General features: G+C 44.6%; 1 annotated feature.

Moving 5' to 3' along the window:
* Positions 5,636-5,695: an enhancer, noted in NCBI's record as "active region_27794". NCBI's record gives its function as "activates an Ori minimal core promoter by ATAC-STARR-seq in GM12878 lymphoblastoid cells {active_cell/tissue: GM12878}" and the evidence as "EXISTENCE:reporter gene assay evidence [ECO:0000049][PMID:35858748]".

The following is a 14,022-nucleotide window of genomic DNA, read 5'->3' on the forward strand; positions in this document are numbered from 1 at the left end:
CTTAATTTCCATTCTAATGTTTATGTGGCTCCCACCTGCAGCTGGCACTTGTGATTCCATTTCTGCAGCTATTCTCCCCAGGGTCTTCTGTCTTGTCAGGGGCTTTCACTGTATCATTTCAGGGTTTGGAGCAGAATTACAGAGCTCGGGTGTTGATGGGGGCAGCTCAGGAGTGGCCCAGCACCCTGGAAATGAGCTTCCTCAGCTTCATTCTCTCCAGCCCCAAAGACAGGCTGCCCTTTTGCTCTGCTGATTGTCACCTGGACTGCAGAGCACCTATTCTAGACTAGTGGTGAAGTGACAGGTCTCTGTGCTCTGTACACAGAACAGACTTGGGTCCGTGGAACCTGCTTCTTCATAATTCTGCACCTGGCTTCTGTCAACAGTGGTGCTGACTGTGTCTTTAAGAGGCACTTCAGTTTAGCCTTTTAAAATACTCTCTTAAGCCAAACCAGATTGCCTTGGGTTTGAATCTCAGAACTGCCACTTACCAGCTATATGAATTTGAACAATTTCTCTAACTTCTCTGTGCCTCGGTTTTCTCACATATAAAATTGGGTATCAACAGTACAGGGCCTTTGTTAGCATTAAACAAAGTAGTAGATATAAATTTCCTGGAAGAGTGCCAGGCTGGATGTGGTGGCTCACGCCTGTAATCTCAGCACTTTGGGAGGCCGAGGTGGGAGGATTGCTTGAGCTCAGGAGTTTGAGACCAGCTTGGACAACAAAGTGAGACCCTGTCTGTACAAAAAATAGCCAGAATTAACCAGGCGTGATGGCATGCACCTGTGGTCACTGCTACTCAGGAGGCTAAGGCAGGAGTATTGCTTGTGCCTAGGAGTTTGAGACTGCAGTGAGCTATGATTGTGCCACTGCACTCCAGCCTGGGGTCACAGAACGAGACCCTGTCTCAAAAAAAAAAAAAAAAAAGCGTCAGGCACACTTAGCATCAATAAGTGTTGGATGTAATTATTATTACTATTAGTAAACATTCCTGGGAGGATGGAGCTGCAGTCCCGAGCATGTCCAGCAGAGTGCGCCCTGCAGTTCAGAGGCGCAGAGTGTTCAGGGGGTGGCCTCACTGTGGGCTCCCCTGCATGCCGACTGCCAGATACCCACTTAATGGATCCCATTGGACCAATGGGTGCTTCCATCCCTTCACAGGCTCCATCTTTATCTTTCTAAACCATCGTGCCTGAAGACTCCTGGAGGTGACCTGTTTGTGAGGAAGGCAAGAGACCAGGAAGACAGGGAGGAAATCACCTGGATTCTGATTCCCAACCTCGGAAGGGCTCAGTCACTGGGCAAAACCCTCACTACTGGCAAGAGGCATAACGGGCATTTTCATCCACACAGACTGGCTCTGAGGGTGCCCCCACTCAGCATTATGAGCCCTTTGGGGAGTGGTCCTTTCGCCAGGGGCTGCTCTGTGCCATCCCAGGCTTTGGAGCGGCGGCTGGTGTGGATGATTCCACCAACAAATCTCTGAAATCAGAAATGAGGCTGTTTCATAATCTCCAAAGGCTGGAGACGTTCCAGGCAGTGGAAAGAGAAGCTGGCCTACTTTAAAGAGCTTCAGAGAATGAAATTCCCAGCCCTCCGCAGACATGGGAAGAGCTGCCACCTTCAGGCCAAGTGTAGATGACAGGCCTCTTCCTAAAATGCTCAGCCACCTGTTCAACCCCTGTGGGACCCAATAGCTCACAAACCTGTCTCCTGCCTGCTGGCAGGGAATTCCTAGGATCTAACCAGAGCCTGTGCCCTGCTCACTATCTATCTACGTGGCCTCGCTTCTGGGCAGGTGTGGATAAATTTCTCTGTGCCCCCACTAAATTAGGTCCCCAGGTAAGAGGACACGCAGCTGTCTCTGGCAGCCAGTCTCCACATTTGCCTAACTTGCTTTGTGGCGCACTGCCAGCTGCCTATGTTAGCGGCTGCTCCACAGCACAGAACGCAGATTAGAAGTCTGTGGACTCTGCAGGGGTCCAGGCTGCGCTGACCTCCTGCAAGCTGGGTGGGGTAGGGTGAACTCCAGGAGCGTGGGTCTCCTGAAGGCTGGGCTTGGGCCCTGGAGGTGGGCAGACCTCCATGTCTGCAACCTGCCACCCAACCCCTCCTTGGGCCTTCAATACCCTGGAGTCACCCATCAGAAAGGCCAGGCCTCTTGATTGCCTGTGATGATCTATTTAGGCTCTGTTTATATCACCTGTTTTAGGCTGACTTTCCCTGGATCAAGGGCCCACCAGTGTTGTTTCAAGTAGACAAGGTAGCCCTAGGTTGATTTGAGAAGCTGCTGGTCTTTGGTGTCCGTCACTCCCCAGCCACAATCTCCTCAGGGCCTGGCTTTCCTGCGGTCTGTCCTGCCAAGCTCAGCAAATGTCAAGGATGTAACCAGTTGGAGTGATGTGGGCCCTATAACACTTCCCTGCCATTCCCCTGCTATGGCTCCTTAACTGCCCTTGTTAGAGATTCAACTTCCTGAGGCCCCTCAGGAAGAGTAGGGGTGAGGTGTTGACACAGCCCAGGCTTTGGGGCCAGATCTGGGCTCCAGAACATGGGCGATGTGTAGCCTTGCGCAAGAGGTGCCTCTACTCCTCAAGATGCCCACCTGCATGGTAGGGTGAGCAATGCCTCCTTTAAAAAGGCAAAAGATTTATACAATCTGAAGAGAAACCAGATTATGCAATGTCTAATTAATCACTGTATATGAAGGAGTAAGAATGTATAGAAACCTTCTGAGAAGTCATCCACTGCACACACTTGATACTCATTAGCCACTATGTAACTACCTGAGAGGTTCTTCTTGCCTGCTACACAAACAAAATCAATTCATGGAGACGGTGGCATTGCAGTAAAGAGTTTAATTGATGAGAGGCTGGCCACACCACGTGGGGGACAGAATTATTACTCAAATCAATTTCCTGTGAGCCTCAGAGGTTAGGGGTTTTCCAGAGATAATTTGGTGGGCAGGGAGCTAGGCAATGGGTGCTGCTGATTGGTTGCAGATGCAATTATAGGGGTGTGGACAATGGTCCTCAGGCACTCAGTCTGCTTCTGGGTGGGGGCCACCGGACTGGTCGAGTCACCAGTTAGGGCCATCCAGTTTTCAGAAATGCAAAAACCTGAAAAGACATCTCAAAAAGCCTATCTTAGGTTCTATGATAGTGATGTATTCTGCAAGAGTAACTGGGGAGGTTGCAAATCCTATGACCTCCGGAATAATGACTGGTAGTTATTTAGAATTCAGGCCCTTCTCATCTCCTAAGTCGGTGGCCTTTCATTAGTTTTACAAGGGCACTTTAGTTTGGGGGAAGGGCTATTACCATTTAAACTATAAATTAAATTTCTCCCAAAGTTAGTTTGGCCCATACCCAGGAATGTGCAAAGACAGCCCGCCTGTGAAGCTAGAAGCAAGATGGAGTCAGCCATGTCAGATTTCTCTTACGGTCATAATTTTGCAAAGGTGGTTTCAATTTGCTGAATTATTACACTAAGCCCATGACATCCCAGCTGTTTGGTGAGCATGGCTGCTGGCTGGATGTGAAGCCTTGCTGAAAGGAGGCTGGGTTAGTTTGGGCTGGGAGAAAGGGTAGGAAGTTGCCTTGAACCCAGGCACTGCCTGAAAAAAAAACAAAAAGAAAACACACACACAGCAAAATCCAGAACTCCCTGAAGCAGAAGAGGGAGGCATTGAAGGGCATTTGGAATAGAAAGTAGGGAGGATGGTAAAGGAGCCACAAATGATTTGCCTGTGTTGTCATTTTGCCCAAAGATGGCTCATCCTCAGGCTGAATACAGGTTCTGAGGTTTTCTACCCACCCAGCCTCCCCAGCTCTGGCCCTGCCTGGCAGCCCACTCATGTCACATAATCTTGTGGCCTTGCTCTTTGCAGAGGAGGCAGATCCCCTGGGATATCCCTGAGAATGCAAACACAGGTCCTTCTACATGTTGGGGCACAGGTTGGGCAGAAAGAGGGAGGTTTTTAAGGCATTCAGGAATATTTAAGTGGGGAGAATCCTGCGGAAGAATGGGAGGGGACAAGAAGAACTTTCAGCTAACAAGGCTCCTAGGGCACCCTGGAATCAGCTGGTACAACTTGACCAGCAGAAAAAAGGGAAGAAGAGGGACAGAGATGTGTGTGCCTGAAAGATCAGGCTGTTGGATGCATGGTGCCTCACTCTTGGTTCTGGGAAGGTTCTCGCTCTTGCTGGCTGGAAGAGAAGTTAGTCCGACAGAAGAGCCTACTTCACCAACTATGCCTCTGGCTGTGAAGACCATGCTGCCTCCCCCAGGGCTGCCTACAAAGGGACAGGGAACAAAATGCAGGAGCTGGGCAGGCATGCAGGGCAGCTGGGCAAGGCTGTGGTGGAGGCAGAGCCAGCTGTCTGCCTGGGTTCCTTCCTGTCTCGATTCGGCCCCACAAGGATCCAACACCTCCTACCCCAGTTCTGCCCCAAGACAGCATCACAAATAAAAATTACAGAAGAGGCACATTGGTGCATCTTCAATGCTACAGACATATATAATGCAATTTCCCCGATATCTGAGCTCCCCAGCATGCCAATTGATTTAATTATTCATAACCACCATCAATAACTACTGATCGTCAAAGCAATGAATGAAGCTACTGGAGTTTTTGCTGAAGGAGGTGAACAGGCATGCACTGTCCCAGCCAGTCTGTTCTGAGCTGTCAGGCGCCTCTTCCCCCATTAGTCCCCGAAGCACAAAGCCCTCTCATCAGTCATTTCTGGCCTTATCTTATCGATCCTTTTAATAGCAGGAAGTAACAATTTATTAGCAATTTTCCAGAATCCCTGCCTCTTGGCTAGATGTTTTCCCATCTTGAGAGCTGAAGTCATATTTCTTCTAAATCTGGCTCTCTTCAAGGTACTCAAGGAGGCCAGGCTGAGAGAGCTGTGATGCCTATAGAGAAGAAACAATTAAATTAGGACAGTAATATTGTTTTAATTTTTCTGCTAATTTTGTGGTTTCAAATGAACAACTGGGCACAGGGAAGGGGTGTGGGGGGATGAGGGGACCCTACAGAAACCAGATGAAAAAACAAGTTTTATTTCAATCTTCTATTGAAATCTTTCTTTCCATTTTTTGTTCCCCCTTATTGAATTTGATTTTTAAAAGTGAGGCCCCAGGAAGAAGGACCTAGGCTGCGGGTCAGGGGCTGGGTGGGGGCCGAAGCTCCTAGAAGCTTAGCACCTATCCCTGCTCTAAGCCCCTGCACCTGTGACTCAGGCTTTTTGGTGCCTCAGTTTTACCCAGAAGAAAAAAAGAAAAAAAAAAAGCCTAGGAGAAGAAGAGGCCACTTCCCTATTCCATGACCCATGAACTGATTCATGAGCCCTTCTCATCTCTAGAATGAGGAACTGCAAGGGTGACTGGAAAGGCCACCAACACCCGGCCCGCCAGGCCCTCCCCGGCCGCCCGACTACTGGAAGGAAGAGGAGAAATCTGGCCGCGGGGGGCGCTAGGGAGCCCCTTCTGGCTTCCAGACTGCGGGCCCAGCCACAGCCGTGGAGACTAGGCAGGGGCAGGCGCCTGGGGCTCCGCGAATGCAGCATATATCCTGCTGATGGCCTAAGGAACATACGCTATGAAGACAGCCTCACAGCAGCACGAACTCTCCAGGCTTCCGGGCCAGAGTCACAAAACCGCTGCTTCCCCAGGGGGAGACTCGCGTGTCCTAAGGACACTTTCCTCGCCCCAGGAGGCTTTGTCGCCTCTACCCGTCTCCGCCCCAGCGTCCCTGGGGTCCTTGGATCATCTTCTCCCAAGACAGTGGGTCCAGGGCTGACATGTGGAACAGCCACTGTGTGCTGTGCCGGCCAGTTAACCGTTCTCCCCTTTAATCTGTGCAACAATAATAAATATTATTTAGCTCAGAACAAAAAACAGAGGCATCACAGAGAATAAATGGCTTGTCCAAGACCACCCAGCTAGTGACTGCCTTCAAATGCAAGTCCATCTGCTTTATTATTTATTTTTCCAGTATCTATATTATAGTAAGCTATGGATGTCTATAGTTATATAAATATATACATATTTATTAATTAGTAATTAACATATACTTACAATTTATTAATTATGTAACTTTAATATAATTTTGTAGTTGATATGGTTTAGCTCTGTGTCCCCAACCAAATCTCGTCGCAAATTGTAATCCCCAGGTGTGGAGGGAGGGACCAGGTAGGAGGTGATTGGATCGTGGGTTATTTTCCCTATGCTGTTCTCCTGATGGTGGGGGAGTTCTCACGAGACCTTGATGGCTTAAAAGTGGCAGTTTCCCCTGCTGTGTCTCTGTCCTGCCGCATGTAAGACGTGCCTTGCTTTCCGTTTGCCTTCCGCCAGGATTCTAAGTTTCCTGAGCCTCCCCAGCCATGCAGAACTGTGAGCCAATTAAACCTCTCTTGTTTATAAATTACCCAGTCTCGAGTAGTTCTTTATAGCAGTGTGAAAACAGACTAATACAGTAGTTAATTTTAATTTTTATTATTGTTGCTGGAGTTTTTATGTTATTTATTTTTCAAATAGGCAATAGTTCATGTGATTCAAAATTCAAAATATACCAAAAGGAATTCAATGAGAAGTCCCCTCCTCAACCTATGTCCTTCTGCTCCCCAAGTCCCTACTCAGAGGTAACCACAGTTAATTAGTTTCTTGGTTATCCTTTCAGAGATGGAAACAGAGAAAGATAAAAACAATATGCCTATATATTCTTTTTTACCTTTTTTATACAAATGCTGTGTACAATACACATCATTCTACTCCTCATTTTTCTTCCCCACTTAGTATTTTTTCACACTTAGTATTTCTTGGAGATCATTCCATTTCAGTATATAAAGAGCTGCCTAATTTCTATTTATGGCTCCATACTATGAAGATATCATATTAAATTATATTTCAATTTTGACGTAAATACTTCCCCGACTCCCTTCTTGTCTTACACATTTATTGTAAAGTTTCCATCTTCTATCTAACTGAACTTTCCATTTTGAACCTTGATCCCAAGTACTCTGACCTGTTAGTTGGCAGAGTCTCTGCCCAGCCTCAGTCTGGGCCCTTCTACAAACTGGAGTCCTAACTTTCTGCAGTGATGCCTCCTCCACTGCGTGCCGTGGAATTGGGTCCACCGCTGCTCTGTAGCTGTGATCAAGAAGCATTTCAGATGTTATCCCACCATGTGCAGAGCCCATGTTTTCAGGAGTCAAATGAGGTTAATGATCACATCTTATGAATTTAAGGAGAGGGCACTGGAAGAGGCTACAACTCTTGATGTCACTCTGACCCACACATTTAATAATGTTTAGTAATAGGGTTTATGGTATAATAAAGCTGTAACGCTAGAAATGACTCACCTGGTTATACACTGCAACACTGCTGTGGACAAATAGAAACACAGAGCAGTTAAGTGAGTTGCTTGAGAACACACCACTCAATAGTGAGAAAAGGGTCTATCATGACTAGAAAAATGATTATAGCATTTCCTACCCTGGTTGCTGGATATGATGCCAACAGGCAGCTGATGTGGCCTGAGAAGAATTACCAGACAGCCTTTCAAGGTGAGCTCAGGATGTCTGCAGTAATTTTACCAAGGACAACTGTGAGATATATCATTATCGACATTCAGATGCTGATAAGGACACTACAAGTTTTGAACATATGTGATAAATGTTTGAACAACTTTTTGATGAAATTAATAACCTGGTGGTTTTTTTTTTTTTTTTTTTTGAGACAGAGTCTCACTCTGTCGCCCAGGCTGGAGTGCAGTGGCTCAATCTCGGCTCACTGCAAGCTCTGCCTCCTGGGTTCACGCCATTCTCCTGCCTCAGCCTCCCGAGTAGCTGGGACTACAGGTGCCCGCCACCATGCTGGGCTAATTTTTTGTATTTTTAGTAGAGACAGGGTTTCACCGTGTTAGCCAGGATGGTTTTGATCTCCTGACCTCGTGATCCGCCCGCCTCGGCCTCCCAAAGTGCTGGGATTACAGGCGTGAGCCACCGCGCCCGGCCATAACATGGTGGTTCTTAATGAATGCTAACATAATGGAAACATCAGGAAAGGTTGACAAGTATGTAACTCTGGTGGGTGAGCTAAAACTGCCTCTATTACATATTACATCTCTGTACTAAAACTTTCATTTTACATATTTGAGTAGGTCACCAGACTGGGAATTCCTCAAAGTCAGGGATGGTGGCTTGTTTCTTCTATAGCCCTAGTGACTAGCTTGTCACATGCAAGTTAGACAGGACACTGTATCACTGAACTCCTAGGCCTGGCGGGAGCGTGGCAGGCCCACCAGGCATGGTAGACAGTGAAACTGAAAAGAGAGGCAGGAGAGGGTCAGGTAGGTCACAAGAGTCATGGGAAGGAGTTTGAACTGAAAACTACAGCAATGGGGACCAGGTGTGCATATTAGCAAGTTGATTCTACTGAGGCCAGGTGCAGGGGCTCACATCTGTAATCCCAGCACCTTGGGAGGCTGAGGCAGGTGGATCGCTTGAGCCCAGGAGTTTGAGACCAGCTTGGGCAACTTTGCAAAACCCTATCTCTACTAAAAAAGACAAAAATTAGCTGGGCGTGGTGGCATGTGCCTGTAATCCCAGCCACGTAGGTGGCTGAGACATGAGAATGGCTTGAATGGGAGGCGGAGATTGCAGTGAGCTGAGATCACACCACTGCACTCTAGCCTGGGCTGCAGAGAGACACTCCGTCTCAAAAAAAAAAAAAGTTGATTCTACTGAGCAGAGGAACAGAATAGAAAGTTCTGAAAAAAAAATACATCTTATATGAATTTCTTATATGATAAAGCTGAAATTTCAAATCGGTGAAGAAAATATGGATTATTTAATAAATAATATTGGGCCAACTGTTGAACCATTTGGACAAAAAGCAATATTAGATCCTGTGGTAGACAGAATCATGGTCCCCCAAAGTGATCCATGTCCTAATCCCCAGAATGTGTAAACATGTTACTTTGCATAGCAAACAGATAAGACTGAATTAAGGATCTTGAGATTGAGAGATTATCCTGGGTCTGGGTTCTAGGTGGGCCCAAGGTAATCACCAGGGTTCGTACAAGAGGAGGGCAGGGCCTCATATTCAGAGAAACAGAAATGGTGATGGAAGTAGAGGTTAGAGTGAGACAATTGCAGGCTTTGAAGCTCAGAAGAGGACACTAGCCAAGGAATGTGGGTGGTGTTCTAGAAGCTGCAAAAGGCAAGAACACACATTCTTCCCTAGACCTCCAGAAAGAAAAACAGCCCTGTGGACACCTTTATTTTAGCCCTGTAAGACCCATGTCAGACTTTTGACATCCAGAACTTCAAGAAAATTAATTTGTGTTGTTTTAAGCAACTGTTTTTTGGCAATTTGTTACAGTATCAATAGGAAAGGAATACAGATCCCAAGTGTCTATCAACATATTGATGAATAAATAAACTGTAGTATATTTTACAATGGAATACTACTCAGCAATAAAAAGGAACAAACTATTGATAATTACAGTGCATGAAAAAAAGCCAGGTTAAAAAGAGAAAAAAAAAGACATGTTGTTTATAGTTAGTTTATAAGTTTATGTGTAATCCTTGTTTATAGTTATCCCTGGTTTATAATCTATCAAGTATGTATTAGATAGATGAAATGTTTATATGGGATACCCCCCAAAACATAACAAACAAACAAAACTTGTGGAAAGAGGGGAATTTTATAAGTATAATTTCAAAGACAAAGAGTTATAGCATTTTTAAAAACCTCTATATTAAAAAAATCTATAAATCAAATTACAAACTAGAAAAATATTTGAATTGTATTAAATTGATAGAGAATTATCATTGAATGGTAGAGTTAAGGATGCTTTTCTGCAATGAATGTGCATTACTTTTTGTAAAGAAGACAAATCTTAACAGAAATCCTGTTACTGTGGTAGTTGTATCAAAAATGAATTAGAGACCAGTATGGACATTTTACCAAAGAAGATACAAGGATGGCAAATAATTACACAGAAAGATGCTCTACATCATTAGTCACTGACAAATGCAAATTAAAGCTACAACAATATGGCACTACACATCTGTTAGAGTGGCTAAAATGAAAAAGACTAACCATACCAAGTGTTGGTGAAGACATGAAGCAACTGCAATTCTCACACTGCTGGAGGGACTATAAAATAGTACCACTGTTTCAGAAAACTTTGGCCATTTCTTAAAAGTTGAGCATACAGCTACTATTTGATTCAGCTGTTCTACTCCTAGGTGTTTCCCTCAAAAGAATGGAAGCATATGCCCATACAAAGACTTATATTCAAATGTTCATGGCAAGTTTACTTTTAATAGATCCAAAGTGGAAATAACCCAAATGCCATCAACAGATTTACGAATAAAACAATTGTAGTATATTCAGACAAAAGAATACTACTCAGCAATAAAAAGGAATAAATTACTGACATATCCAACAACATGGATAAACCTCAAAATAATACCAGTGCGTTAAAAAAAATTTACAAAAAAGATGCACTGTATGATTCCATTTATAAAATTCTAAAAAATGCAAACTATAGTGACAGAAAGCAGATGAGTGGTGGCTGGAGATGGGGTGGAGTGGGGAGGGGCAAGAGGAAGAGATCACCAGGAACTTCAGGGGATGATAGATATGTTCACTAGCTTGATTGTGATGATGTTTTCACGGGTACACACATGCGTAAAAGCTTAAACTTATCAAATTATACACTAACCTTGTACAGTTTGTGGTATGCCAATCATACTTTAATAAAATGGTATTTAAAAGTGGCTTGACCATGAAAAAGCATGGAGAAAACTTAAATGCATATTACTAAGAGAAAAAAGCCAATCTGAAAAGACTATATACTGTGTGATTCCAATTATATGGCATTCTTGAAAAGGCAAAACTGTGGATACAGTAAAAAGATCTGTGGTTGCCAGGGGTTAGTGAAGAGGGAGGGATGAATAGACAGAGTATAGAGGATTTTTAGGACAGTGAGAATACTCTTTATGACTCCATAATAATGGGTACATGTCCTTATGCATTTGTCCAAAGCCATAGAATGTACAATACCAAGAGAGAAGCCTAATGTAAATGATGGATGTAGGGTGATTAGTGCCAATGTAGGTTCATTGATTATAACAAATGCACCGCCACAGTGGGGGATGTTGATATTGGGGGAGGCTGTACGTGTGTGATGATGAAGGTATGTGGGAAATCGCTCTACTTTCTGCTCAACTTTTCTGTGAACCGAAAACTTCTCTAAAAAATAGTCTATTTTTAAAAGTGGCTTGAACAATTAGGATATTTATTGTCTCCCAAATCAGGGGTCTGGTGGGTAGAGAGGATCAAAGGTTGGTTCAGTGGCTAAAAGTGCTATTAAGGACACAGATGCTTCCCATCTTCTGGCTCTGTCCACCTTCATATTATAAAAAGTGTTGCAGTTGTTGAAGTCACACATGCGGGCAAAACAGCGTCCAGTAAAAATGAACAGTTTCCTTCCTATTCATCTTGTTTTAAGAGAGAGGAACGCTCTCCTATGAGCTCCCCATAGACTTCCCCTTGGGTCCCATTGGTCAGTGTTGAGTCTCATATCCATGATCTGACTGCAAGGAAGGGAGAGGGCTGCAGGGCGAGCACCCACTGGGGCCACACAGGCACTTGCAGAGTTCTGTGCCTTTACTCATGCTCCTTCCCTCTGGCTTCTCTTGGCTCTCCCTTGACCCACCTTCTTTCGCTGAGAGCATTCAGGAATCCTCCTTGCATCTCCCTCAGGCCTTTCTATGTAACTTTATCTTCCCTCTGTGTAGACTTTTTTATGTGTGTATCTGTCTTAACAGCCAGACATGAGCTTCTGCAATCTCTCCTCTTTCATCAGGGGAGCCCAGGGACCTTGTACAGGGCTTGGTGCACAGCCGTGCTTGAAAAGTGGTCTTGGATGGCAGAAAAAAGCAGATGGAGCTTTTCCCATCCTGGGGAGAACACAAAGGCCAAGGCGGGGAAGCAGCTTCAGTACAGAAGTGAGTGCAAAACACTAAAAGATTTCATTATAGAAATAGCAGAAATGGTCAAGATCTATCATTGTGAAGGATATAACTGATGGTCTCAGAAGAACACACCTGGGAACATCACTCTGAAATGAAAAGGAGAGTGCTTTAGGGCAGAGAAAGCACAGCTGGACTCATAGAATAGAATTCTCACATTCTTCATTCAACATGTGAAACTTATTACCTCTAGTAGGTTATTCAGGAAAGACTGTAACAATTATTTTAAAAATAGAGATGTGGTCTCACTGTGTTTCCCAGGCTGGTCTCAAACTCCTGGGCTGAAGGGATCCTCTTACCTTGGCCTCACAAAGTGCTGGGATTACAGGTGTGAGTTACTACACCTGGCCATAGCAATTTTTAAGGGGTTAAAAGCTACTAAAGGGACAAAGCGACAAGTCTTGTCTATGTCAGGCCATGCTGCTTCACAAAACACCCTCTCTCTATGCTGGTTTTCTAGAGGAGTTCCTGGGCTGGGTGAGTCATGGGTCTGAAGTGAGCCTAGTGTTATCTGTGCTTCTGTGACTCATCAAACCTAAAACCACCTCTGCAGGACAGAGATTCCTTGATGGCAAGAGAAAGAACAGAAGATGCTCCTGACCTTAGGGTCATACAGTAATTTCAGCAGTGACTACTCCTTGCTGGGCCCCTGAGGCAGAATCCCAGAGATGTCCTGGAAGTTCAGGCCCTGACTTCATTTGGTCAATGGCGTTGGCGTTAAAATCAGGATGATTCCTGTTTCTCAGGCCCTCTTAACCAACCATTGCTGTTCTGAGGCTATTCTTCTGAGAAGTGCAGGTGGATACTCAAAGAGTCCAGCTCACTAACTACAGACTTTCAAAGTAATTAAACAACATTTGAGCTGATCAGGTTAAAATTCCCAGCTGAGCATAGCTTTTCCATTCTCTGAGTTCTCTAGGAGTGCAGGAAAGAAATCTTGCAGCACCAGCTGAATCTCATCTGCCTATATCACAGCCCCTCCACCTTAAGTTGCACCAATTTGTAGGGGTCTCTGAGTTTTAAACCCAATTGGCCTCTCCCTTTCTTTCTTTCTTTTTCTCTTTCTCCCTTTCTCTCTCTCTCTTTCTCTCTCTCTCTTTCTTTCTCTTTCTTTCTTTCTCTTTCTTTCCTTCTTTCTTTCTTTCTTTCTTTTTCTTTCTTTCTTTCTTCTTTCTTTCTTTCTTCTTTCTTTCTTTCTTCTTTCTTTTTCTTTCTTTCTTTCGTGTATCAAGTTTACTACCTACCTCCTGGCCAAACCGGGCCACATGGTTAAGCCCAGATTCAAATTGGGTGGGAACTACAAAGTTACAAGGCAAAGGTCATGCATACAGAGAGGTCATTAATTGGGATCTACCACTGCAGGGTGGTAAAAGAGAATGAAAACTGATATGGTGGGGAATACCTTAGCATCTACTAAGGGAGTAATCAGGAAGATATGAGATATCCTGTGAAGGCTTCCCGAAGGAAGGAGAGGAAGGGAAGACCATTTCAGTTGGAAGAAGGATACATTATGGGAATAAGTCATTTTACTGGAGATATGAACACTTATGTAACCAATTCCCAATTGATAGACATGTGGGTTGTTCTACATATTCTCTATTACAATCAATGCTGATCTGTGTATCTAGCTATCCAGCTGGCATAGAGAGGCATATGGTGGATTTGTACACACACGTACACATACACATACACACTGCACACACATACCATGCAAATATAAGATAAATTCTTGGAATGACTAATTCTAGTAGCTTATAAATTTGTATAGGTATTGTCAAATCAGCCTTTTTCTTTCACTCCCAAGTTGGGAATTGCTGGGGACTCTCAAAACCATGTCACTGACTCCATTTTTGGTTGTGGGAGCTGGGAGCCCCTCCATTTCCTCTTCCCAGTTCTTTCTTCTGCAGCTGCCCCCAGGTTTGTTCTCCATGATCCAGCAACTTCTGTCTCCATCCCCCGTTCTCAG

Source organism: Homo sapiens, chromosome 8, assembly GCF_000001405.40.
Source record: "Homo sapiens chromosome 8, GRCh38.p14 Primary Assembly".
Lineage (NCBI taxonomy): Eukaryota > Metazoa > Chordata > Mammalia > Primates > Hominidae > Homo > Homo sapiens.